Below are 27,674 nucleotides of genomic sequence, written 5' to 3'. Positions count from 1 at the left end.
CGGGAGCTGGGAGAGCACTTCGTGCCCGAATACACACACACACACACACACACACACACACACACACACACCCCGCGCGCGCCCCAGGGCTTGGTTCCCAGGCCCCCGCCGCGGGAGGTGGGAGGAAGGGATGTCCCGGGGGGAGGGCCCCAGAGTCACTTTTCCTCGGAAAATATGCCGTTCTGGCCCCCAGCCCAGGCCTGAGTCACCAGGCCTCGCTGCATTGAGTCACGGACTCCACCCCGCCCCTGAGAGCACGGAAGGGGGCCTCCCCCCACCCCAAATCCTGCCCAGGTCTCTCTTTCCCTGGGGGAGGGCGGGCGATCCCTGTCCCAAGCCAGCCTCACTGCCACATGGGAAGAAGCCTTGGCTTTATTCGCTCTGTGGGGACACTGTTCCGTTCAGAGGCCCCTCCCAGCCATGGGGTGGGGGACAGTGGTGGGCGTGGGAATCCCAGCGAGCATCCTGGAGGGTGCGTCGTCTCCATGTATTTTGCTCTTCCCCATCTTTTCCATGGGGTCCCCTGCCAGGGTCAAGCACTAATATGTGGTGAAGGCAGCAAACAGCGTCGGCGTCCCTTTAGGGGTGGGGAGAGGGCTGTAGCACCAAGAACCCCCTCCCCCGCCCACGACATCCCTGAAAAGGAGACTAAAATAAAGCCCCGGGGCCTTTCTACGTAGGGGCTCCACTTAAATATGGAATGGTGGTAGGCAGAGAGGCGGTGGCCCAGCAATCCTTAAGTCCAGATTACCAGCTGTGGGGAGGCTTCCAGGGGGCCAGGAGCAGGCTGGGCAGTTCCAGCCACAGACACGTGGGTGGAGGACGGAAATATCTCCAAGGGGGCACAGTATCAGAGGAGCAGGATGGAAGGGGCTTTTCTGCCTGCTACGGGATCCTTTTTAAAGAAATGGGTGTGAAGCCGGGCACGGTGGCTCATGCCTGTAATCCCATCACTTTGGGAGGCCAAGGCGAGCAGATCACCTGAGATGCGGAGTTCGAGACCAGCCTGGCCAACATGGTGAAACCCCGTCTCTACTCAAATACAAAAATTAGCTGGGCGTGGTGGCGCGTGCCTGCAGTCCCAGCTACTCAGGAGGCTGAGGCACGAGAATCACTTCAACCCAGGAGGTGGAGGTTGCAGTGAGCTGAGATCTCACCACTGCACTCCAGCCTGGGCGACAGAGCAAGATTCTATCAAAAAAGAAAGAAAGGACAGGACAGGAAAGGGAAGGGGTGTGGACAGAACTGGGGGCAAAAACAAAAAAGAAGGAAGGAAGGAAAGAAAGAAATGGGTATGGGCAGAATTGGGGGCAAAAACAAAAAAGAAGGAAGGAAGGAAAGAAAAGAAGGAAGGAAGGAAGGAAATAAATGGGTGTGGGCAGAATTGGGGGCTTTCCCCGAGCAAGGGAAGGGGCTGCGGAGGGGCCCATCTGAGGAAGCAGTAGGTGTGTCTCCCCTCTGAGCCCCCCATGGTCCCGAGACCTGAGGATGTGATGGAGCCGGTTGAGGGTGTTGCCTGGCTGGGCAGGAGGAAGCGGAGCAGAAGGGGGTCTGTTTATCTGCTAGTCATTTCAGCCACAGGGCTGCTCAGCCAGGGGAGGGGCTGGGGGCCCTGCCAGGAATTAGTGTGTGTTTGCGTGACTGTGTAGGTGCCCTCTCCTGGGAACGTCACCTTCCATGAGGGCAGATGTATTTGTCTATTTTGTTCTCTATGGTAATGCCCAGTGCCTAGAACAGGGCTGGGCACATAGTAGGTGCTCAATAAATATTTGAATGAATGACGGATGGATGGATGCCTGCGTGTGCCAGTGTGTGTGTGATGTGCCTAAGTGAACGTGAGGCTGGAGGTGTGAAGGGCGGACAGAGAAGCCTTGTCCCTCCCGTGGTCCCCTCTAAATGCTTCCACCGGGGTGTCTGGCGGTAGTGAGGAGGGAGACCCCCGGTCCTTACAGCTGGGCAGGGAGGGCAGGCAGGGCGTGTGTGAGCCGGAGCAGGGGTGTGCGTGCAGCCGACTGGAGCTGGGGAGCCACAGCAGGGCCATGGGAGGGGGGCCGGCTCACTCGGCGGAGCCCTTGTGGCGTCGCTTGGAGGGTGGCACCAGGCGACGGGGCAGGTTGGCGGGCAGCCCGTGGCCTTCCAGCTTGGCCTCGATGAGGTGGCTGGCCAGCGCGAACTCCTCATCATCCAGCATGCCGTCGCGGTCCACATCGCTGAGCTTCCAGATGCGCCCCAGCACTGAGTTGGGGAGCTTGGTCCCCACCATCCAGGTCTTGGCCTTGGAGCCGCTCAGCTTGCCGTCGGCAGGCGCCAGGTTGTAGAAGATCTCGTCGTATTTGGACTTGTCCTTGGTCACCACCCACTCGGCCTCGTCGTCCGAGCCCTCCTCGCCGTCCTCCATGGCCTCGTCAGGTCCCCGCTCCACAAACGGGCCCATGTGGGTGCCCTCAAAAGCGCCCCCCTGCACGCCCACCTCGGTGCTCTCCAGCTCCTCCTGCCGCAGCAGGGGCATGAGCTTGGCGATGTCGTGCGTCAGCATCTCGTCCAGTGCCTCTAGCAGCTTCGGCTTCAGCGAGTGAAACTTGGTGAAGTCGTGCGCCATCAGCAGCTCCTGTGGTGGGGGACAGGGGCACCCAGAATTCAAGCGGCGCCATCCCTGAGGCCCTCAGGCTGCAAGGTGGTATCAGGACACTGGAGAAGCTCGGGGGTAGCTGTTGTGGGGTTTTTTTACTGTTGTTTGTTTTGAGACAGAGTCTTGCTCTTGTTGCCCAGGCTGGAGTGCAAATGGCACAATCTCGGCTCACTGCAACGTCCGCCTTCCGGTTTCAAGCGATTCTCCTGCCTCAGCCTCCCAAGTAGCTGGGATTACAGGCATGCGCCACCATGCCCAGCTAATTTTTGTAATTTTAATAGAGACAGCGTTTCACCATGTTGGCCAGGCTGGTCTCGAACTCCTGACCTCATGATTCGCCCGCCTCAGCCTCCCAATGCTGGGATTACAGGCATGAGCCACCGCGCCCAGCCATTTTTGTTTTGTTTTGTTTTGTTTTTTTTTGACAGGGTCTCGCTCTGTCACTTAGGCTAGAGTGCAGTGGTGCCAACATAGCTCACTGCAGCTTCCAACTCCCAGCCTCAAACGATCCTCTGGCCTCAGTCTCCCAAGTAGCTGGGACCACAGGCACACACCACCCACCCAGCTAAATTTTTGTGATCCTCCCTCCTCAGCCCCCGCAATTCGCTGGGACTATAGGTGTGCGCCACTACGCCCAACTAGTTTTAAAAATTTTTTGTAGAGACCAAGTCTTGCTATGTTGCCCAGGCTGGTCTCGAACTCCTGAGCTCAAGCCATCCTCCCACCGCAACCTCCTAAAGTGCTGGGATTGCAGGTGTGAGCCACTGTACCCAGCCAGAGTGGCAGCTCTTTACTGACACATGCAGAAGTATTTGAACATCTGAACAACCTGTTCCGCTCGGGCACCCACCAATGAGAAGATACTTGGGCAACAAGGTCCCAGAGGCTTTCTCCTGTGCCCCAGAATTACTGGAGGGTGGGGAGGCTGGGGCCCCTCTGATGAGTGAGAGCAGCGGCCCTTTGCCAGCTAGCAGAGAAGGATTTCAATATTTTCGCATCAAGTATAGCTTTCTCAGAGCATCCACACCAGCCTAGAACCCTAACCGCCCTCTACCCAACTCCAGCTGCCCAGCCAGCACGTACAACATTAAAAGTTAAAAAAAAAAAAACTCAGCAGGCTTGGGTGGCTCACACTTGTAATCCCAGCACTTTGGGAGGCTGAGGTGGGAGAATCACTTGAGCCCAGGAGTGCAAGACCAGCCTGGACAACATGGCAAAACCCTATTTCTTTTCTTTTCTTTCCTTTTTTTTTTTTTTTTTTTGACGAGTTTCGCTCTGTCACCCAGGCTGGAGTGCAATGGCGCGATCTCAGCTCACCGCAACCTCCGTCTCATGGGTTCAAGCGATTCTCCTGGCTCAGACTCCCAAGTAGCTGGGATTACAGGCGCCTACCACCATGCCCAGCTGATTTTCATATTTTTAGTAGAGATGGGGTTTCGCCATGTTGGCCAGGCTGGTCTCGAACTCCTGACCTCAGGCAATCTGCCCACCTCGGCCTCCCAAAGTGCTGGGATTACAGGCATGAGCCACTGCACCTGGCCTCAAAACCCTATTTCTTAAAAAAAAAAAAAAAAAAAAAAAAAAATTAAAAATTAGCCAGGTGTGGTGGTGCACGCCTGCAGTCCCAACTACTTTGGGAGGCTGAGACAGAATCTCTTGAACCCCAGGAGACAGAGGTTGCAGTGAGCGAAGATAGCACCACACTGTACTCCAGCCTGGGTGACAGAGCAAGACCCTGTCTCAAAACAAAAAAGTGTGCAGGGGGGGAGAGAAAAAAGAAAGTTAAGAAAGCTTAATTCCTGTCACAGTGCTACCACACCACACAGAAAGGACTGAGTGGCTGGCTGCCAAATTTGGAGGTGAGATTTGAGATGATCAGATCATCAGGGGTTCCTGGGACCACCCCCTCCCCACCGAAGAAGTCACTTTGGGGTGTAGGGGTGGACTTGGCGTCACACTGCTTCTCACACGGGCTACTCTAAGTGGCCCAGACTGCACCAGGACAGTCTCTGCGAAAATGGATTCCTTTCACAGCCCTATGTGAATTTCCTGAGCCAAGGCAGAGAGGCCAGCTGATCACGACTCTGAAGGGTTGGGGATCCTAGGTTGCAACCTGGATTCCCTGGCAGCCAGAGTATGACTAAGTTCAAGTCCACTGAGGCAAGCACAGGTTGCATGTGCAGCTTCTACTGTTAGCCTGTCCAGTATGGCAGCCACTAGCCACATGTGCTTATTTACATTAATTAAAATGAAATACAGGCCGGGCGCAGTGGCTCATGCCTGCAATCCCAGCACTTTGGGAGGCTAAGGCAGGAGGATCACCTGAAGTCAGGAGTTTGAGACCAGCCTGGACAACATGGTGAAACCCCATCTCTACCAAAAATACAAAATTAGCTGGGCGTGGTGGCGGATGCCTGTAATCTCAGCTACTTGGGAGGCTGAGGCAGGATAATTGCTTGAACCCGGGAGGCAGAGGTTGTAGTGAGTCAAGATCTTGCCACTGCATTCCAACCTGGGCAACAGAGCAAGACTCCATCTCAAAAAAAAAGAAAAAAGAAATACACGTTAACATTCCATTTGAATGTGGCTAGTGGCTACCATACTGGACAGTGCAGAATGAAACATTTCCATCATTGTAGAACGTACTGCTGGACAGCTCTGTTCTAGAAAGTGTTCTTGGTCAGGCATGGTGGCTCCTGCCTATAATCCCAGCACTTTGGGAGGCCAAGGCAGGAGGATCACTTGAGGCCAGGAGTTCGAGACCAGCCTGGCCAACATGACAAAACCCCATCTCTACTAAAAGTATGAAAAATTATCTGTACGTGGTGGCACATGCCTGCAGGCCCAGCTACTTGGGAGGCTGAGGTGAGATAACTGCTTGAACCCAGGAGGCAGAGGTTGCAGTGAGCCAAGATCACGCCTCTGCAGTTCGGTCTGGGTGACAGAGTGAGACTCTGTCTCAAAAAAAAAAAAAAAAAAAAAAGCTAGCCAGGCATGGTGGCATGTGCCTGTAGTCCCAGCTACTCTAGAGGCTAGGCAGAAGGACCTTTGAGCCCAGGAGTTCAAGTACACAGTGAGCTATGATCACCCCATTGCACTCCAGCCTGGACAACAGAGTCTCTGAAAAATATATAAATAAATCTCTAAAAAATATATAAATAAATTTTTAAACGTATATATTTTATTTTATTTATTTATTTATTGAGACAGAATCTTACTCGGTCACACAGGCTGGATTGCAGTGGTGTGATCTCAGCTCACTGCAACCTCTGCCTCCCGGGTTCAAGGGATTCTCCTGCCTCGGCCTCCCCAGTAGCTGGGACTACAGGCACGCAACACCATGCCCAGCTAATTTTTGTATTTTTAGTACAGACGGGGTTTCACCATGTTGGCCAGGCTGGTCTCGAACTCCTGACCTCAGGTGATCCACCCGCCTTGGCCTCCCACAGTGCTGGGATTACAGGCATGAGCCACTGCACCCAGCTGTGTATATTTTAAATATTTATATTTTACAAATATAAATATTTAAGTCTCAAATAAATAAATGAAAATAAAATAAACAGTGTTCTTAAAGAGACTACTCTTTTCTTCCCCTTCCCAACTTCCTTTTCTTTTTTTTTTTTTTTTTGAGACGGAGTCTCGCTCTTTTTGCCTAGGCCGGAGTAAAGTGGCGCTATCTTGGCTCAGTGCAAGCTCCGCCTCCCGGGTTCACACCATTCTCCTGCCTCAGCCTCCCGAGTAGCTGGGACTACAGGCGCCCACCACCACACCCAGCTAATTTTTTGTATTTTTAGTAGAGACGGGGTTTCACCGTGTTAGCCAGGATGGTCTTGATCTGCTGACCTCGTGATCCGCCCGCCTCGGCCTCCCAAAGTGCTGGGATTACAGGCGTGAGCCACCATGCCTGGCCCCCTTCCCAACTTCTTGCTGGCTGGAACGCAGACACAATGGCTGGAGCCTTCACAGCCCTTTTGTACCATGAAGTTCCTTGGGCCTGGAGGCCAGGCATGGAAGAGAAATAAGACAGAAGGGGACTAGATCCCTGGCTCTGTAAAGCACCAAACCAGTCCTGGATCACTTTCTGGGACTTTTTATGGAGGAAAGAAAGAAAAACTCTCTATCTTAATTTAGCCACTGTTATTTTGGGTTTTCTCTTCACTCCCCTAGCCTGACTCATAAAACCATGCTCCCACGGAACTATTTGAGGGAGGCGCTTTCCAGAACCTGCCATCCATCCCTCTGGCTTTTGAGGTCCCATCTCAGAGCTTCCAGAAACCAACCTTCCCATCACCCACCCCCAACATTCCCTCCTGGGCAGCTTCCCACCTGCATTTTCTGGCAATCAGGAAAGTCCCCAGGGGAGATGTGATGTTCCAGCTGAATCTTCGCAAAGATGACGGGCAGTTTGAGGATCAGCTGCTTCTTCTTGTTCTCCTTCCCAAACACAGAGGGCATCTCCTTCTTCAGGTAGCTGATGATGTAAGCGTGAACCTGTGGGAAGGGTTCTCACCTCAGCCTGCATCAGGGTCCACCAGGGAGCTTGTTAAAACACAGGCTGCAGGCCCCACTCCCAGAGATTCTGATTTACTTGGTCTGGGCTGGGGCATGAGAATTTGTATTTCTTTTATTTCTTTTTCTCTCTCTCTCTCTCTTTTTTTTTCTTTGAGACGGAGTCTCGCTCTGTCACCGAGGCTGGAGTGCAGTAGCACAATCTCGGCTCACTGCAACCTCCGCCTCCCGGCTTCAAGCAATTCTCCTGTCTCAGGCTCCTGAGTAGCTGGGATTACAGGCATGCGCCACTATGCCCAGCTAATTTTTGTATTTTTAGTAAAGATGGGGTTTCACCATGCTGGTCAGGCTGGTCTCAAACTCCTGACCTCGTGATCTGCCCACCTTGGCCTCCCAAAGTGCTGGGATTACAGGTGTGAGCCACCGTGCCCAGTCTTTTTTTTTTTCGAGACAGAGTCTCGCTCTGTTGCCCAGGCTGGAGTGCAGTGGTGCAATCAGCTCGCTGCAACCTCCAACTCCTGGGTTCAAGCAATTCTTCTGCCTCAGCCTCCCAAGTAGTTGGGATTAACAGGCATGCGCCACCACACCCGGCTAATTTTTTTGTATTTTTAATAGAAACGGGGTTTCTCCATGTTGGCCAGGCTGGTCTTGAACTCCTAATCTCAGGTGATCCACCCGCCGTGGCCTCCCAAAGTGCTGGGATTACAGGCATGAGCCACCGCGCCTGGCCTGCTTTTTTTTCTTTTTTTTTTGGAGACAGGGTCTCGCTCTATCACCCAGCCAGGAGTGCAGTGGTGCGATCATAACTTACTGCAGCCTCAAATTCCTGGGCTCAAGGGATCCTCCCGCCTCAGCCTCTCAAGTAGCTGGGATTACAGGCAAGAGCCACTGCCCAGATGGGAATTTGCATTTCTGACAAGTTACAGGTGCTGCAGGCGGAGGTGCCACACTGTGAGCCTCATGGCCTCCTCCTGCTGGGGCTCACCCTGGGCTCCTCCTCTCTGCTAACTAAGTGAGCTGAGTCCCTCCCAGTTTTAAACACCCCTCCAAGAGGTCCACTCCCGAATCTGCATACCAGCCTAAGCCTCTCCCTCCAGCTCAGGACTCAGAGCTAATTGCCCTGTCAACATTCCTGGATAGCTCCATACCAGGATGCCCTAAGTGGAATTTGAGCCTAGCCCTCAGAGCTGTGTCGCCCTCAGCTGTGCCCATCTCTGAAAAGGGCATCCCCAGCCCTGCCTTCCCAGTTGAGGCCAGAAATCTAGAAATTTTATTTTTATTTATTTATTTATTTTGAGACGGAGTCTCACTCACTCTGTCACCCAGGCTGGAGGACAGTGGCGCAACCTTGTCTCACTGCAACCTCCACCTCCGGGTTCAAGCAATCCTCCTGCCCTGGCCTCCCGAGTAGCTGGGATTACAGGCACGTGCCACCATGCCTGGTCAATTTTTGTATGTTTAGTAGAGACTGGCTTTCACCATGTTGGCCAGACTGGTCTCGAACCCCTGACCTCAAGAGATCCACCCGCCTCGGCCTCCCAAAGTGCTGGGATGACAGGCGGGAGCCACCCCGTCCGGCTCTAGAAATCACTTTTTTTTTCTTTTTGAAAGGGAGTCTCACTCTGTTGCCCAGGGTGGAGTGCAATGGCATGATCTTGGCTCACTGCAACCTCCACTTCCTGGGTTCAAGCAATCCTCCTGCCTCTACCTCTCGAGTAGCTGGGATTACAGGTGCCCGCCACCACTAATTTTTGTATTTTTAGTAGAGAGGGGTTTTCACCATGTTGGCCAGGCTGGTCTCAAACTCCTGACCTCAAATGATCTGCCTGCCTCAGCCTCCCAAAGTGCTGGATTACAGGCGGGAGCCACGGTACCCAGCTCTTGAAATCATTATTGATTTGATATTTGATTCTTCCTCCTGTTAAGTAGCCACATCCAACCTATCAATGAGTCCCTTTTGCCTCCTCCTATGTCTCTCCCTCTCTCCCCTACTTTCCTTTTCTTTTTTGCTTTTTTTAGACAGGGTCTGGCTCTGTCCCCCAGGCTGGAGTGCAGTGGCACAATCTCGGCTCAGTGCAACCTCCACCTTCCCAGCTCAATCCATCCTCCCACCTCAGCCTCCTGAGTAGCTGGGACTACAGGCACCCGCTACTACGCCCAGCCTCTCCCCTGCTTCTCATTTCTCTCCACCTCAGTGGCCACCATGTCCATTCGAGCGTCATCCTCTCTTGCCTGGGGAGACACCCAAGGTGGCCCGACAGGTCTCCCAGCTCCCCATCCTGCCCCAATAACCCTTGCTCCATGCAGCAGTGGCCCAAGAGGGCATTTTTCAGGAAGGAACATGAGCCCAGGGGATGCTGCTCATAACTCTCTATTTGCTTATTGAAGTTCAAAATTTCTACCGAAGCCGACAAAGCCCTACAGCAGCAATTCACGAAGTGTGGTCCAGGGAAACCCAGGGGTCCTCAAGATCCTTTCGGGGGTTCCTGTGGTCAAAATTATTTTAAGAACAATACTAAGACGTTATTCGCTTTTTGCTTTCTTCACTCTTTTTTTCTCCCAAATGGACAGTGGATTTTTTTTTTTTTTTTTTTTTTTTGAGACAGAGTCTTGCTCTGTCACCCAGACTGGAGTGCAGTGGTGCAAATAATGACTTTATTTATTTATTTATTTATTTATTTTTTGAGACAGAGTCTCACTCTGCCGCCCAGGCTGGAGTGCAGTGGCTCAATCTCGGCTCACTGCAAGCTCCACCTCCCGGGTTCACGCCATTCTCCTGCCTCAGCCTCCCAAGTAGCTGGGACTACAGGCGCCCGCCACCATGATAATTTTTGTATTTTTAGTAGAGACTGGGTTCCACCATGTTGGCCAGGATGGTCTCGATCTCTTGACCTTGTGATCCGCCCGCCTCAGTCTTCCAAAGTGCTGAGATTATAGGCATGAACCACCGCGCCTGGCCTAATGTCTTGATTTATTAATCTTCTCTTCTCAAGAGGCTGAGATGGGAGGATCACTGAAGCCGGGGAGGTCAAGGCTACAGTGAGCCATGATCATACCACTGCACTCCAGCCTGGGTGACAGAGCAAGACACTGTCTCAAAAAAAAAAAAAGGAGCCCCAGAAGGGCTGGAAACTTGTCTGTTCCCTCCATCTCCAGCACCAGTACAATCTGTACAGAAAACACTCAGGAAATATTTGTGGAATAAACCAATGAACTTGAGAACCTTTGAAACACAATCTTTTTATTTTTTATTTTTTATTTTTTTTTTGAGATGGGGTTTCACTCTGTTGCCCAGGCTGGAGTGCAGTGGTGCGATCTTGTCTCACTGCAACCTCTGCCTCCTGGGTTCAAGCGATTCTCCTGCCTCAGCCTCCTGAGTAGCTGGGATCACAGGCATGCACCACCATGCCCAGCTAATTTTATATTTTTAGTAGAGATGGGATTTCTCCATGTTGGTCAGGCTGGTCTTGAACTCCTGATCTCAGATGATCCGCCCACATTGGTCCCCCAAAGTGCTGGGATTACAGGTGTGAGCCACCACACCTGGTCCACAATCTTATAAATTATCGAAAAATAAACAAGGAGAGCAGAATAATGAATATTGGTATGTCTATATTTTATAGGAAGCTCACAAATTAAATATTGCTCATGCCTATAATCCCAGCACTTTGGGAAGCCAAGGGGGGAGGATCACTTGAGGCCAGAAGTTCGAGACCAGCCTGGGCAACATAGCAAGACTTGGTCTCTAAAAAAAAATTTTAAAACTAGTTGGGTGTACTGGCGCGCGCCTATAGTCCCAGTGAATTGCCGGGGCTGAGGAGGGAGGATCACTTGAGCCCAGAGGTTTGAGACTGAAGTGAGCTATGATGTCGCCACTGCACTCCAGTCTGGGCGACACAGCGAGCCTTTGTCTCTAAAAAAATGAATAAATAGGCCAGGCGCGGTGGCTCACGCCTGTAATCCCAGCACTTTGGGAGGCTGAAGCGGGTCGATCACCTGAGGTCAGGAGTTAGAGACCAGCCTGGACAACATGGTGAAATGCTATCTCTACTAAAAATACAAAAATTAGCCGGGCTGATGGTGCCCACCTATAATCCAAGCTACATGGGAAGCTGAGGCAGGAGAATCACTTGAACCTGGGAGGTGGAGGTTGCAGTGAGCTGAGACCGTGCCATTGCACCAGCCTGGGCGACAGAGTGAGACTCAGTCTCAAAACAAAATAATAATAAATAAATGCTTTTACAAAATGCAGTATATTGGCCGGGCGTGATTACAGTATATCACGCCTGTAATCCCAGCACTTTGGGAGGCAGAGGCAGGCGGATCATGAGGTCAGGAGATCGAGACCATCCTGGCTAACACAGTGAAACCCCGCCTCTACTAAAAATACAAAAAATTAGCCAGGCGTGGTGGCAGGCACCTGTAGTCCCAGCTACTCGGGAGGCTGAGGCAGGAGAATGGCGTGAACCCGGGAGGCGGAGCTTGCAGTGAGCCGAGATCATGCCACTGCACTCCAGCCTAGGCGACAGAGCGAGACTCCGTCTCAAAAAAAAAAAAAAAAAAAATGCAGTATATCTGGAAAGACACACAAGAAACTACTTATGGGGGTTGCCTCTAGAAAAGAGGCCCTGGGAGCTGGTGGGGTGAGGTGTGGGAGAATCATGTCTGATAAAGTATGAATGCCTTTCCATGAGATGGTCTTAAATGTTCAATAAAAAAGACTAGTTAAAAAATTCTTTTAGGCCAGGCACAGTGGCTCATGCCTGTAATCCCAACACTTCGGGAGGCCGAGGCCAGCGGATCACCTGAGGTCAGGAGTTCGAGACCAGCCTGGCCAACATGGTGAGAACCCATCTCTACTAAAAATACAAAAATTAGCCAGGTGTGGTGGCACCTGCCTGGAGTCCCAGCTACTCGGAAAGCTGAGGCACAAGAATCACTTTAACCTGGGAGGCAGAGGTTGCAGTGAGCCGAGATCATGCCACTGCTCTCCAGCCTGGGTGATAGAGAGAGACTCCATCTAAAAAAAAAAAAATTATATATATATGTATATATATATATATATATATATTTTTTTTTTTTTAAAGAATCACAAATTTAGACTGCTGAGAACGTTGGTGGTCCCTGACTGGTTCTAAATCTTCATCTCTTCCACCTTCCACCACCACCCTGTCTCCAGCCCCGTTAGGCTCTCAGTTCAAACACATCAAGTGCATGGCTGCCCCAGGGCCTTTGCACATGCTGTTCTCACTGCATGGACTGCTCTTCCACCCGATCGCCACTCGGCTCACCCCTTCCTCTTACCCCTTCCTCTCCTTCAGAGCGCTCTAAAATAGTCCCTCGCCAGCCCCTCTTTCCTCCGCTTCATTTTTCTTCATAACCATTGATTTGTTTAATGTTTGCTTCCCCACTAAAAAGTAATTCTATGAGAAAAGGAATTTATCTGTGTTCCCTGCTGTATCCCCAGAGCCTAGAGGAGTACCACATGCGATCGGCAACTGCTGAATGAATGTCACTGGGCCACTGCAGAGAATGTGGTCTGAAGGTTCAGGGCATCTTGGCGTCTATAGAATCAGACCCTCCCAAGATCTTGGCCTTACGTATCACAGCATCATAAAATCTCCCCTTCTAACAGCTATCACTTCAGCCAAAGGACTTAGAGCCAGAGGATTCGTCCACACCCTCCATCGTACAGATGGGAAACTGAGGCACTGGGAGGAGGGTGAATGCCTCCTCCCAGAGAGTCCAGGAAGGCCTGGTATCTTTGGAGGAGAGCATGAGGGGAGGTTAACAGTATGGCTATTGTTGGTGACGACCAAGTGTGGCGGACTCATATGTGAGGAGCAGGGGTGGGGGTGCGACACGGGGCAAAGGAGGGGCAGTGAGCCTTGGTCACAGCGGACCCTAAATCCCATGCTCCTGTGTCCTGAACGGCACTGGGGAGCCATGGATGAACCTGCAGGAAGAGGGGGAGGGAGTGCCTAATGGTCTGAAGGACCAATCAGGGCAGGGGTGTGGCCGGGCTGGGGGCGGGGCCTGTGAGAGCGGGCCAATGGAGCCAGGGGGCAGGGCCGAAGGGCGGCTCCGTAGGGACCAAAGGAGGGTAGGCGGGAGGGCGCTGATGGCTTTTCCAGAGAGGAAGCAGGGGAAGGTGCCAGGAAGAGATAAGGTGAGAGGGCGGGCTGGGCCGGGGCTGGGTCCCTGACTCCGGGGTTTGTCTGGGTTTCCGGAGCCGCCCCCAGCCCGGCGGGGGCACCAGGTGTCTGGCCCGGACCCACCCCTCTGTCCCTGGGCCTTGTGCTCCAGCTCCCGCCAAGGGACCCGCGGGAACGAACCTGGGGGAGTCTAAGCAAGACCAGGAGGAAGACAGAGAGAGGGCGGCGGCGGAGCGGGGGAGAGATGGAGAGACAGGAGGAGGCAGAGCGAGAAAGAAAAGGAAAGGGAGTTAGAATAAAAGAAAAAGTAAAAATGGAGAAGAAAGAGACTGAGAGAGAGGTAGAAAGGAGACTGACATAGAGACAGAAAAAGAGAGAGAGAGACACTGCAGAGCCGCCTGGGCAGAGGAGCGCAAGGTGAATTCCGAAGGTTCCAGGAGTGGCAGCCTGGTCCACAGTGGGCCGCTCCCTCCGAAGGAGGATTCCTGGGGTGGGGGTGGGGGCTCTGACTCACCCACTCTCGCTGCTCCTTAAACCAACACCTCAGGCTCCTCCACCCCCTAGAACCTTCTTGGCCTCCCTGCCTGCCCAGCTTCCTGCCCCGCCTCCACCCTGGCAGCCTCCCCCTGAGAAAGTTCCATCTGACATCCAAAATCGCTCTGAAACCCGCGCTCTCCTTTCTCCTCTCCCTCCCCAAGGCCTGTCCTGATCCAGGAACCTCCAAGCCTTTTGCCTGGTCTCCAGGCTCCTAGACTCTCCTGCCTTGAATCCACCCTCCAAAAGGTAGCTTGAGTCTAATTATCTCCTTTCCCTGCTCCGAACTTTTTCATGGCTCCCCAGTGCCCTAGGGACAAAGCACAGATTCCCGGACACAGCCCACACCACCTCTGATCTCAGCCACATCCTCAGCCTCTAATTGAGTTAGCACACTGTCTACACTGGGTTCAACACTGACATTTCCCCTCAGATGCCCTCTCCTCCAAAGAAGCCCTCTCTGCCTGCCCCAGCTACCCCGCCCCAGCTCTGACCACACTGGGTCATCGGTGCCTGGGGATGGATCTGTCTCCTCTCCAGGAGCCCCAGTGAGGACTGAGCCCTGGAACTGCCTTCATTATTTAGGACTGGGAGCCCCAGCAGGACAGGACTGGAACCATCGTGGTCACTGTTGTGTCTCCTGCACCACCCAACACCAGGCCAGGCATAGAGGAGATTTTGTTCAATGCAACTGTTTGTTCAATGTCATTCATTCAATAAATATTTACAGAGCACCAATTCTGTTCCGGGCACTGGGGATAAATCAGTGAAGGAATTCAAAGAGCCCTGATTGGCTGGGTGTGGTGGCTTACGCCTGTAATCCCAGCACTTTGGGAGGCCAAGGCGGGCGGATCACCTGAGGTCGGGAGTTCGAGACCAGCCTGACCAATATGGTGAAACCCCGTCTCCACTAAAAATACAAAAAATTAGCTGGGTGTGGTGGCACACGCCTGTAACCCCAGCTACTCAGGAGGCTGAGGCAGGAGAATCGCTTGAACCCGGGAGGTGGAGGTTGCAGTGAGCTGATATCGCACCACTGCACTCCAGCCTGGGCAACAGAGGGAGACCCTGTCTCAAAAAAAAAAAAAAAGAAAGAAAGAAAAAGAAAGAGAAAGAGAAAGAAAGAGAGAAAGAGAAACAGAGAAAGAGAGAAAGGAGAGGAGAGGAGAAGAAAGGAAAGGAAAGGACAACAGGGTTAGGGTAAAGAAGGACGCATATGGGGGAAGTTATATTCATTCAAAGGAGGGCATGGACAGCCTTCCTGAGAAGGGAGCATTTGAGCAGAGTCTTGAAAGGGGTGAGGAGGGAGTGAGCCTTGTGGATGGCCAGGTGGGAGGGGGAAGAAGGCAGAAGAGGTTTCCAGGAAGAGGGAGCAGCAAGTGCACAGGACTGAGGCCACCAGCGTGAAGTGCAGGGGACGCTGGGAAGGGAATGGGAGATGAGGACAGAGGAAAGGAGTGAGAGAAGGGGACAATCTGTGGCCACAATCAAACAAGAGTCATGGGAGACGGGTGCTGTGAAGCGCCTAAGATGTAATAAATTCATCTTTTTTTTTTTTTTTATTTTGAGACAGAGTCTCGTTCTGTCGCCTAGGCTGGAGTGCAGTGGTACAATCTCAGCTCACTGCAACCTCTGCCTCCCGGGTTCAAGTGATTCTCATGCCTCAGCCTCCCAAGTAGCTGGGATTACAGGTGCCCGCCACCACACCTGGCTAATTTTTGTATTTTTAGTAGAGACGCAGTTTCACCATCTTGACCAGGCTGGTCTCGAACTCCTGACCTCAAGTGATCTGCTCCCCCCTCGGCCTCCCAAAGTGTTGGGATTACAGGCGTGAGCCACCGCACCCAGCCTTCATTGTTATTTTATGTCTGTTTACTTATTCTGTCTCCCTCCATCAAAAGATAAGCCCCGGGGCTGGTCCAATGGTAGTGGGTTATCAGAACTTTTTTTTTTTTTTTTAATAGAAATGGTGTCTCACTATGTTGCCCAAGCTGGTCTTCAATGCCTGGGCTCAAGCAATCCTCCAAAAGTGTTGGGATTACAGGCGTGAGCCACCGCACCTGGCCTTGGTTATCAGAACTTATTAGTGTCAGTAAAGTTGGCATGCAACTCCCCACCCCCACTGCTAAATTTGACTAGCTTATAAATAAATTAATTAATTAAATTTAAAAAAAGATGAGCCCCAGGAGGGCTGGAACCTTGTCTGTTCCCTCCATCCCCAGCCCCAGCACCATGTGTACAGAAAGCATTCCAGAAATACTTGTGGGCCTGGCGCGGTGGCTCACGCCTATAATCCCAGCACTTTGGGAGGCCAAGGAGAGCGGATCACCTGAGGTTGAGAGTTCAAGACCAGCCTGACCAACTAAAAATACTCTACTAAAAATACACAATTAGCCGGGCATGGTGGTGAATGCCTGTAATCCCAGCTACTCGGGAGGCTGAGGCAGGAGAATCGCTTGAATTCAGGAGGCGGAGGTTGTGGTGAGCCGAGATCACGCCATTGCACTCCAGCCTGGGCAATAAGAGCAAAACTCCGTCTCAAAAAAAGAAAAGAAGAAGAAAAAGAAATATTTGTGGAATAAACCAATGAACTTGGAAACCTTTGAACCACAATCTTATAAATTATCAAAAAATAAAGAGGGTAGAATAATGAGTATTTGTCTGTCTATATTTTATAGGAAGTTCAAAAATTCAACATACTCATGCCTGCAATCCCAGCACTTTGGGAGGCCAAAAGGGGAGGATCACTTGAGGGCAGGAGTTCAAGACCAGCCTGGGCAACACAGTAAGACCTCGACTCTACAAAAAATAAAAAATTAGCTGGGCGTGGTGACACGTGCCTGTGGTCTCAGCTACTTGGGGCAGGCTAAGGAGGAAGGATCACTTGAGCCCAGGAGTTCAAGGCTGTGGTGAGCTGTGATTGCATCATTGCATTCCAGCCAGGGCAAGAGAGCGAGACTCCATCTCTTAAAAAAGAAGGAAGAAGAGGGAACGAAAGAGGATGTAAGGAAGGAGGAAGGGAGGAGGGAGGAAGGGAGAGAGGAACAGAGGAAGGAAGGAAGGAAGGAGGAAGGGGAGGAAGAAAGAGAAGAAGGAGGAGGAGGAGGGAGAAGAAGAGGAGGAGGAGGAAAGAGAGAAGAAAGAAGAAAAAGAGGAAGAAGAAGAAGAGAAGGAGGAGGAGGAGGAAGAGGAAGAAGAAATAGAAATACCAGGACAGAGAAGCCAGGGTGACACGGAGTTGACACAGAAATCCAAAGGCAGAGGAATGAGTCTCTCCATACAGTTCTTCCTCCCGGCTTCACTCTGTGCCAGAATGACCCAACTTCAAGAGAACTAACTAACCTGGGCCCTGATAAGTCAGGGACTCACAGCACTGGTAGGAGAGGACCGAGGAAACCTCCTCCAAGAATGCGCGCCCAGCCCTCAGGACTACTCACTCGCACCAGCCGGGCCCTCTTCACCAGGTCGTTGAGCTTGCGCAAGGCTGCGTGCCGGGGCAGGCCCTGGATGTCGCGGAAGAGGTCCTGCTCCTCCAGCTCGAAGAGGCGCCGGTTGTCGGGCACGAGGAGGGGCTGGGACCAGAAGGAGCCGATGTAGACGCGCAGCACCTCGGGCGTGCCCACCACCTTGCCCAGCGCCCACATGAGCGCGCCGTAGACGCGCATCAGCTGCTGCGTCTCCACCATGTCGGCCTTGTTGAGCACCACGCGGATCTTGTCCTCATGGCCCCGCAACGCGCCGATGGCCTCTGAGAACTCGTCCGAGATCTCCAGCTTGTGCGCATCAAAGAGCAGGATGATGAGGTCCACGCGCTCCGCGAACCAGCGCAGCACGGCCGGGAAGTCGTAGCCTGGAGTGGGAGTGGAGAGACAGGGGCGCAAGGGGCAGAAATCAGACCCCCACCCTCCAGCCATTCTCAGTAGTATCCCATTCTCTTGCATATTGGACTGTAAAGATGTTCACGTTGTTGGCTGTCCAAATCCTGTCTGGGCAAAATAGCCAAGGCCCTCAGTGGGCACTACTGCTCTGGCTCTCCAGTGCCCAGAATTTCCCCCCTCGCTCTGGCCCCAGCCCCTCAAGCCATCTGGCTACAGGGGGCAATCATCCCCCTTTTCCTTTGCTCGAGCACAATGGCGGGATCACGCCTCCCTGCAACCTCTGCTTCCCGGAGCTCAGGTGATCCTCCCACCTCAGCCTCCCTAGTAGCTGGGACTGCAGGCGCGCATCACCACACCTGGCTAATTTTTTTTTTTTTTTTTTTTTTTGAGTAGAGATGGGATCTCACTATGTTACCCGGGCTGCCGGGCTAGTCTCAAACTCCTGAGCTCAACTGATCCTCCTGCCTCAGCCTCCAAAATGTTGGGATTACAGGCGTGGGCCACCGCGCCCAGCCTCACGGCCTCCATTTTTTCATTTGCTCATTCATTAAGCAGTTATTACAGGTGTGCGTCGGTATGTACATATAGGTTGTTAAAAATACTGACATGTTTGCTAAGAGATCCCCCTGTGCTTCTATGGAACCCCCAAGCCTGCCACATGCCTCTATCACCCCAGCTCCTCCCCAGGACCTGTTGTATCTCCCCACGATCCAGCAACTAGAGTTCATGCTGGATAGCTGTGCTCTTGCCATAGCAGATGATAATTTTTTTTTTTTTTTTTTTTTTTTTTTTTTTTTTTTTTGAGACAGAGTCTCACTCTGTCGCCCAGGCTGGAGTGCAGTGGCATGAATGTGGCTCACTGCAACCTCCACCTCCACCTCCCAGGTTCAAGCAATTCTCCTGCCTCAGCCTCCCGAGTAGCTGGGATTACAGGCATGCACCACCACCCTGGCTAATTTCTGTATTTTTAGTAGAGACGGGGTTTCACCATGTTGGCCAGGCTGAGAAGTTAAATATTTTGCATTTATTTAGCAATACTTACTGAGAGTCTCATGTGTGCCAAGCCCTGTCCTGGGAGCCTGGGATACCGCAGAGAACACACAGACAAGATTCTTGCTCTTATGAAGCACCCATCCCAGCCATGGGTTCCCATGCTCATTCATTCATTCCTTTCACCATTCATTTCCTCATTCACTCCTTCATCCACTCATTCTCACCTTTGCTTCTTCACTCATTTATTCACCAACAAGCAATGCTGAGGAGAGCAGAGAGAAGCGATTGAGACCCCCTGACTTAGCTGTCTGGAAGACCTGGAGTTGAGTCCCTCCTCTGCCCCCATCCACTGTGTGACCTTAGGCAAGTAGCTTAACCTCTCTGAACTTGTGTTTTCTTTTCTGTAAAATGCAAATCATAGGACTGTTGTGAAGCCAGGTGTGATGGCTCAAACCTGTAATCCCAGCACTTTGGGAGGCTGAAGTGGGCAGATCAATTGAGGCCAGGAGTTCAAGACCAGCCTAGCCCTAAAAATACAAAAAAATTAGCCCGGTGTTGGTGGCTCATGCCTATGGTCCCACATATTCAGAAGGCTGAGGCACGAGAATCGCTTGAGCCTGGGAGGCAGAGGTTGCAGTGAGCCGAGATAGCATCACTGCACTCCAGTCTGGGCGACAGAGTGAGACTCTGTCTCAAAAAAAAAAAAAGACTGTTGTGAAGATTAAAAGAATATAAATGAGCTAATATATATAAAGAGCTTAAAATAATGCCTGGCATTGAACTGTACATTTAAAAATGATGGAAGTGGCCAGACAGAGTGGCTCACACCTGTAATCCCAGCACTTTGGGAGGTAGAGGCAGGAGGATCGCTTGAGCCTGGGAGTTTGAGACCAGCCTGGGCAAGATGACAAGACCCTGTCTCTACAGAAAAAAATAAAATAAAAAATTATCCACACATGTTGGCATGCATCTGTAGTCTCAGCTACTCAGGAGGAGGAAGCAAGAGGATCACTTGAGCCCAGCAGTTGGAGGCTGCAGTGAGCCATGATTGCGTCATTGCACTCCAGCCTGCAGACAGAGCAAGACCTTGTCTCTTTAAAAAAAAAAATGGTTGAGCTTTTTTTTTTTTTTTTTTTTCAGACGGAGTCTCGCTGTCGCCCAGGTTGGAGTGCAGTGGCGCGATCTCAGGTCACTGCAACCTCTGCCTCTCGAGTTCAAGCAATTCTCCTGCCTCAGCCTCCCGAGTAGCTGGGATTACAGGTGCCACCACACCCAGCTAATTTCTGTATTTTTAGTAGAGATGGGTTTTCACCATGTTGGCCAGGATGGTCTCCATCTCTTGACCTCATTATCCGCCCACCTCAGCCTCCCAAAGTGCTGAGATTACAGGCATGAGCCACTGAGCCCGGCCATAATGGTTGAGTTTTTATGGCGTGTACGTTAATCCTCAATGAAACTGTTTTTTTAAAAACAGTGCTGGATGTACGGTAAGCACTCAGCAAGTCATGGTGATGTCACCCACTGGGAAGCACCCTCTGTGGTCCCTGCTGTGTGTGTGGAGGCTGAGGCAGTTTCAGCTTTGTCCTTACATCTCTCAGCCCACTGGGGACACAGACCTGGCCCCTGAGTGGTCAGCCCAGGGTGGGCAGGGGGATCCAGGGAGCTGTGGGAGCCCAGGGCCAGTGCCTGACCCAACCCCCAGCCTGGGGGTCAAGGAGGACTTCCAGGAGGAGGGAAGGCAGAGTGGGAACCCGGAGGACGAAGAGTTAACTGGCAGAACAAGGAGCTAGCCCTGATTTACTGACTTCATGCCCTCCAGCTAGAGCTCACTCAGTGACTCTTCACAACAACCCCAGGAGGTGGGCACTGTTCTGACCCCATTTTCCAGATGAGGAAACTGAGGCACAGAGAAGTTAGGGGACTAGCTAGGCGTGGTGGCTCACGCCTGCAATCCCAGCACTTTGGGAGGCTGAGGCGGGTGGATCACCTGAGGTCAGGAGTTCGAGACCAGCCTGACCAACATAGTGAAACCCCGTCTCCACTAAAAATACAAAAAAATTAGCTGGGTGTGGTGGTGGGCACCTGTAATCCCAGCTATTCGGGAGGCTGAGGCAGGAGAATCACTTGAACCCAGGAGGCGGAGGTTGCAGTGAGCCAAGGTCCTGCCACTGCACTCCAGCCTGGGCAACAAGAGCGAAACTCCGTCTCAAAAAAAAAAAAAGAGAGAGAAGTTAGGGGACTTACTCAAGACACACAGGTAAGAGGCGACAGAAGAGGAGTCCCATGGGCCCCTATGCTCCTCCGGGGAGCTGGTGCTTGCACCCATCCTGCCTGAGAGGAAGCAGCCTCCTTGCGGGCAACGCAGGGACCGGGATGGGGTTGGGGGCCGTTGTTTTGGGGGAGGAAGGGCCAAGTCACTGGAGGGACAGCAACTGGAGCCCCCCCTCCCTCCCGGTGTCTCCACAAACACACATACTGGCCCAGATTCGGAAAGTGTGTCTCATGGGGCGGGGAGGGAAGAAGGGAGAGAGGTTGAGTCAGTGTGGGATGGGAGACGTGGCAAAAAGGAACCTTGGGCCCACAACGGCACTCACCCAGCGAAAACAGGCATTGTTGGCACTTCCATAGCGCCTACTGTGTGCACACACAAGTGTGCACCTTCTAAGTGCTTTGTATGTTTTAACTAATTTAACCTTTAGGACAACTATGAGGCCGCTAGTATTATTATTCCCAGTGTGTGTGTGTGTGTGTGTGTGTGTGTGTGTGTGTGTGTGTGTGTGTTTTGTTTTTCTGTTTGTTTATTTTTGAGACCAAGTCTCACTCTATCGCCCAGGCTGGAGTGCAGTGTCATGAGCTCGGCTCACTGCAACCTCCACCTCCTGGGTTCAAGCAATTCTTCTGCCTCAGCCTCCCGAGTAGGTGGGATTACAGGCAAGCACCACCACACCCAGCTAATTTTTGTATTTTTAGTATAGACAGGGTTTCACCATGTTGCCCAGGCTGGTCTCGAACTCCTGACCTCAGGTAATCTGCCCACCTTGGCCTCTCAAACTGCTGGGATTACAGGCGTGAACCACTGCGCCCAGCCCATTATTCCCATTTTGCAGGTAAGAAAACTGAGGCAAAGAGAGGTTAAGTGGCTTGCCTAAGGTCCCACAGTTTAAAAGCAGCAGAAAATAGGCTGGGCGGTGGCTCATGCCTGTAATCCCAACACTTTGGGAGGCCGAGGTGGGTGGATCACGAGGTCAGGAGTTCAAGACCTGCCTGGCTAAGACGGCGAAACCCCGTCTCTACTAAAAATACAAAAAAATTAGCCGGGCATGGTGGCAGGCGCCTGTAATCCCAGCTACTCCGGAGGCTGAGGCAGAGAATTGCTTGAACCCAGGAGGCGGAGGTTGCAGCGAGCCGAGGTCGCACCACTGCACTCCAGCCTGGAAGACAGAGTAAGACTCCATCTCAAAAAAAAAAAAGTAGCATAACATAAATAAATAAAAGTAGCAGAGCCCAGATTTGAGGGCTTTACTATGCTACAATCACACATGCGTGTGTTCACACATCTTACATGCAGAGGCAGCCACACACATGAGCTCGCATACACACACACACACACACACACACACACACACCCCCAGTAGCACATCCAGACACAAACATAGCCAATTACTACAAGATGCAGGCTCCCAGACATACCCGTGTTCACAATCTGGGACCTACACAGATGTTTGTGGTCACACAATCACAAAGATAATGTGAGATGCACACACGGCATAGACACAGAGACCTGCACGAACACACAGGTACAGAGGCACACATGCATGCACACCCACACAGACACAGTCGCACACACATAACCTCCCATGCCCTCCCAAATCCAAAGGCACACACACAGACGTAATCACACACAGTTACACAAAAGATGCACTCCTGCACACACACACATTCTCACATACACAACACCACACAGAAGCACACAACTGTATCCGGAGATACAATCACAGGTAGTCACACACAGTCCCACAAAATCCCCGCAGCCCTGACCGCCCCATGCAGCCACACAAAGTCACACACAGCCCACAGCCCAGATACACATATATGCCTAGACCATCTCACACACAGGCACACAATGTCAGACTCACACCTACAATGATACACACTAAATCCACATAGACACATAGACAAAAGTTGCCCTTTATGTCTGTCTCTCTCACACACACACGTCACAATATAACAGTATATAGGGACAGAATCAGTTGCACACTATCCCACAAAGTCTCTCATAGCCCTACACAGCCCTTCAGAGTCACACAAAGTCATCCAGCAGGCCGGGCATGGTGGCTCACACCTGTAATCCCAGCACTTTGGGAGGCCAAGGCAGGAGGATCACCTGAGGTCAGGAGTTCGAGACCAGCCTGGCCAACATGGTGAAATCCCGTCTCTACTAAAAAAAAATACAAAAATTAGCCGGACATGGGTGCGGCGGGCGCCTGTAGTCCTGGCTACTCAGGAGGCTGAGGCAGCAGAGCCACTTGAACTCGGGAGGCAAAGGTTGCAGTGAGCCGAGATCGCGCCACTCCACTCCAGCCTGGGCGACAGAGTGAGACTCTGTCTCAAAAACAAACAAAACAAAGTCTTCCAGCCACAATTATAGGCACATGCGCACACACACACACACACACAGAGGCATGTACACAATTCAAAGTCATACAACCTCAGAGCCATGGCCACAATGAGGCACGTCCACTGCTATACACAAATGCGTGGAACCACCACACCCAGGAGTACACTCATAATGACACACTTTCCCAAGATATACACAAAGTCACACACACACACACACACACACATATACACACCAACAGCTGGACACTCTCTCCTCCTCTTCCTCTATCCTCAAGGCCAGGGAGGGAGACCCCGTTCCCCACTCCCCCACCACCCATGGCCTTTGAACCCCCCTGCCGGCACCCCTGCCCTGGCTGAGAGAGCCTCTCCCTCCCGCTGTCCCAGGTCCAGGCCCTGGGGTGGGAGCCCCAGGAATTCCTCCCCCTCAGCTGGCAGCGTGTCCTCCCAATCGTTTCTGCAGCTGCCTCCTGCCTTTCTCCCGTGGGGCCTCTGGACGGCAGCCAGAGACATGGTCACCCCCAGCGTCCCCACCCCACCCCAGGCCCAGCCTTCTCGCCAGGGCCTCCCATCCTCTCTGCCCCACATAGCAGCCTCCTTTGCCCCAGTTCTGGGCCTCCAAGGCCATGGGGGGTGGGGGACACAGATCTGTGGGGCTGGGGGACCACAGATGCTGAGCTGGGCTGGGCAGGGGTGGTGAGGGCTCAGCACGCCCGGAGGCCCCGGCTGGAATCCACCCCCCGCCACTCTCCTTGCACAGCTGTTTATAAATTCCAGGCCTGGCCTTGGCCCCCACCCAGATTCCCTTCCCATCCCCTTCTCGGCCCCATCTGTGGCCCAGACGCAGAGCCAGGAGCTCGCAGGGCCCAGCCTCCCCTGCCCGGGCTCTGCCTCCCCTGCCCAGGCTCTGCCTCATCTCCAGGCCTTGTGTCTCCCTGCGTCGCTGTCTCACTGCCTCGGAATCCCTGTCCCTCTTCATCTCTCCCTTCCCATCCTTCCTGCCTGCCCAGACGTGCGGCTCCTGCCCGCTCCCACCACGTGGTCACCCACACACCTCCCCCACCCATCAATGCGAGCCAGCATGGAGCAGTCACAGCTTCCACTAGCTCCCTGCGGCTGCCCCGCCAGCCAGGGCCAGAGGACACAGGCCCAAGTCCCAGCGGAGACACCGCCCCTCCTCCTCTAGACCCAGGAGTCCAGACCCCAGGCCCTCCTACCTCAGACCCAGGAGTCCAGGCCCAGCCCCTCTCCCTCAGACCCAGGAGTCCAGGCCCCAGCTCCTCCTCCCTCAGACCCAGGAGTCCAGACCCCAGTCCCTCCTCCCTCAGACCCAGGAGTCCAGGCCCCCAGCCCCTCCTCCCTCAGACCCAGGAGTCTGGGCCCAGCCCCTCCTCCCTCAGATCCAGGAGTCCAGACCCCAGCCCCTCCTCCCTCAGACCCAGGAGTCCAGACCCCAGCCCCTCCTCCCTCAGACCCAGGAGTCCGGGCCCAGTCCCTCCTCCCTCAGACCCAGGAGTCCAGGCCCCAGCCCCTCCTCCCTCAGACCCCAGGGTCTGGCCCCACTCACCGCGGCTCACTCTCTGCTTGGCACCCGACAGGATACCCGGGGTGTCGATGATGCTGATGCTCTCCAGGACCTGATTAGGGAGCTGGGCACACATGAACCTGGGGGCAGAGGGAGGGTCAGGGGTCAACAGGGAAGGACAGAAGGAGGGAAAACACGAAGAAAACATGAAGAGGGACTCGGGACCGCATGGCAAAGCATCCTTTATGGGCGAAGAAAGACACCGGACAGAAAAAGGGCAACCAGGACCATCTCAGAGTTATAACCAGCCACAGCTCATGTTCAGTGAGCACTTAATTTGTGCCAGGTACTGTTCTTTTTTTTTTTTTTTTTTTTGAGACAGAGTTTTGCTGTTGTCGCCCAGGCTGGAGTGCAATGGCACTATCTCAGCTCACTGCAACCTCCGCCTCCCGAGTTCAAGTGATTCTCCTGCCTAAGCCTCCCGAGTAGCTGGGATTACAGGTGGGCACCACCTCACCCAGCTAATTTTTGTATTTTTAGTAGAGACGGGGTTTCACCATGTTGGCCAGGCTGGTCTCAAACTTCTGGCCTCAAGTGATCTGCCCGCCTCAGCCTCCCAAAGTGCTGGGATTACAGGCGTGAGACACTGCGCCCGGCCACCAGGTGCTATTCCAAGTCCTCACAGCAACCATGGCATAGAGACCATGGTGATCCTGATCCCTTTTTTTTTTTTTTTTTTTTTAGACAGAGTCTCGCTCTGTTGCCCAGGCTGGAATGCAGTGGCACGGTCTCGGCTTACTGCAACCTCCGCCTCCCAGGTTTAAGCAATTCTTCTGCCTCAGCCTCCCGAGTAGCTGGGATTACAGGCACGAACCACCACACCCAGCTAATTTTTTGTGTTTTTGGTAGAGACGGGGTTTCACCATGTTGGCCAGGCTGGTCTCCAACTCCTGGCCTCAAGTGATCTACCTGCCTTGGCCTCCCAAAGCGCTGGGATTACAGGTGTGAGCCACCGGGCCTGGCCCAAGGTGATTGATCCACATTTTTGCAGATGAGGCTACAAGAAGGGCAGAGAGGTCAAGTCATTTGCCTGAGGCCACCCAGCTGGCCGGGATTTGAACCAGGCATACTGACTTCACTAGCCTAGGTGCTCCCCTGGATAAGAGAGCAGAGACAGGCATGGGAAGAACTGGGTAGAGAGAAGGGAATTGGGGCTGAGAAGGAGGGAAACACAGTCAGGGAGGGGACAGAGAAGGGGGACAGCAAGATGCACCCCTGGGACAGAAAGACGTGCCCCCAGGGCCGGGCGCAGTGGCTCACTCGTGTAATCCCAACACTTTGGGAGGCTGAGGCAGGTGGATCACTTGAGGCCAGGAGTTCAAGACCAGCCAGGCCAACATGGTGAAACCCCAACTGTACCTAATAATACAAAAACTCGCTTGGCGTGGTGGTGGGTGTCTGTAATCCCAGCTACTCAGGTGGCTGAGGCAGGAGAATTGCTTGAACCCAGGAGGTGGAGGTTGCCATGAGCTGAGATCGCACCACTGCACTCCAGCCTGGGCGAAAAGAGCGGAAACTCTGTCTTAACAAAAAGAAAAAGAAAGATGCGCCCTGGGCTCGCGGCTGGCACACCTGTTGAGGAAGGTGTTTCCGAAAGGGTTGAGTTTGCGGAAGGGCTTGTCCGGGTCCACGACGAGGGCGTTGCCGGGCACGGTGCCCTCAGTGTCCCCGTGCATGACGGCCACAAAGCAGTCGGTGGTGGGCTCAGGCCCCACGCGGGAGCCGGGCACCTCCTGCTCCAGCAGGTACTGGATGAAGCTGGTCTTGCCCGTGCTGTACTGGCCGGCCACCAGCACCATGGGCTTGCCGTCGAAGTCTGCGTCCTCCAGGGCCGGCGAGTGGAAGGCCCCAAAGCGGTAGTGCTCCTCCAGCGGCAGCAGCTTCGTGCGGTACAGCTCCTTGAGGGCCGAGGTCACCGTGCGGATGGCCTCGGGCTGCTGGCCCCGTGCCCCGCCCCGCTTCAGCCAGCTGAACATGGTGGCTGCACACCGCTCACGGGGTTCACGGAGAGACGTGCAGATGGAGAGCTGCCTGTGGGAGGGGGAGAGGGCATGAGCATAGGCGGCCCAGCCAAGGAGGAAGAAAGGGGTCTGAGTGTAGACTGTCTGGGTGACAGGATGGGTGGAGGAGGAGGAGGAGCACAGATATTTGTGGTCACAAATATGTGGTCACAGAGCATGGATGGCAGGTGGCAGGAGGAAGAATGGAATTGGGCCAGGCGCGATGGCTCACACCTGTAATCCTAGTATTTTGGGAGGCTGAGGTAGGAGGATTGCTTGAGGTCAGTAGTTGAAGACCAGCCTGGGTAAAATAGTGAGACCCCCATCTCTACAAAAAAAATAATTAGCTGGGCATGGTGGTGCATGCCTGTAGTCCTAGCACTTTGGGAGGCTGAGGCAGGAGGATTGCTTGAGCTCAGGAGTTCAAGGCTGCAGGCTGCAGTGAGCTATGATCATGCCGCTGCACTCCAGCCTGGGCTACAGAGTAAGACCCCATCTCAAAAAAAAAAAAAAAAAAAAAGGCCAGGCACAGTGGCTCATGCCTGTAATCCCAGCACTTCGGGAGGCTGAGGCAGGTGGACCACCTGAGGTCAGGAGTTTGAGACCAGCCTGACCAATATGGTGCAATCCTGTCTCTACTAAACATACAAAAAATTAGCCAGGCCTGGTGGTGGCCACCTGTAGTCCCAGCTACTTGGGAGGCTGAGACAGGAGAATCACTTGAACCCAGGAGGCAGAGGTTGCAGTGAGCCGAGATCCCGCCACTGCACTTGA

General features: G+C 53.2%; 1 protein-coding gene and 1 long non-coding RNA gene across 2 annotated transcripts in view, besides 2 other annotated features; one reads left to right on the top strand and one right to left on the bottom strand.

The window, feature by feature from the left end:
• Nucleotides 1–354: 354 nt before the first annotated feature.
• EHD2 (EH domain containing 2) overlaps nt 355–27,674 on the bottom strand; it is a 29,713-nt gene continuing 2,393 nt past the window's right edge. The window contains exons 2-6 of the mRNA NM_014601.4: nt 26,473–26,931; nt 24,883–24,980; nt 17,265–17,677; nt 6,956–7,120; nt 355–2,608 (exon numbers count right to left, since the gene is read on the bottom strand). Coding sequence (NP_055416.2) covers nt 2,057–2,608; nt 6,956–7,120; nt 17,265–17,677; nt 24,883–24,980; nt 26,473–26,876 — 1,632 coding nt within the window. The 5' untranslated portion in view covers nt 26,877–26,931 and the 3' untranslated portion in view covers nt 355–2,056. The remainder of the gene's footprint in view (nt 2,609–6,955; nt 7,121–17,264; nt 17,678–24,882; nt 24,981–26,472; nt 26,932–27,674) is intronic.
• Nucleotides 8,075–8,575: an enhancer, noted in NCBI's record as "H3K4me1 hESC enhancer chr19:48238171-48238671 (GRCh37/hg19 assembly coordinates)". NCBI's record gives its function as "activates a minimal SCP1, AML or CMV promoter by ChIP-STARR-seq in naive H9 embryonic stem cells {active_cell/tissue: H9 hESC(naive)}" and the evidence as "EXISTENCE:reporter gene assay evidence [ECO:0000049][PMID:30033119]".
• On the top strand, nt 13,978–14,565 carry LOC124904733 (uncharacterized). Its single transcript, XR_007067279.1, has 2 exons — nt 13,978–14,076; nt 14,368–14,565. It is a non-coding gene; the product is annotated as an uncharacterized LOC124904733 (long non-coding RNA).
• Nucleotides 17,225–17,991: an enhancer, noted in NCBI's record as "H3K27ac-H3K4me1 hESC enhancer chr19:48228755-48229521 (GRCh37/hg19 assembly coordinates)". NCBI's record gives its function as "activates a minimal SCP1, AML or CMV promoter by ChIP-STARR-seq in naive H9 embryonic stem cells {active_cell/tissue: H9 hESC(naive)}" and the evidence as "EXISTENCE:reporter gene assay evidence [ECO:0000049][PMID:30033119]".

The sequence above is a fragment of the Homo sapiens genome, chromosome 19 (genome assembly GCF_000001405.40).
Source record: "Homo sapiens chromosome 19, GRCh38.p14 Primary Assembly".
NCBI lineage: Eukaryota > Metazoa > Chordata > Mammalia > Primates > Hominidae > Homo > Homo sapiens.
The sequence above is the reverse complement of the archived record's forward strand: the minus strand, read 5'-3'. Positions and strand labels throughout refer to the sequence as shown.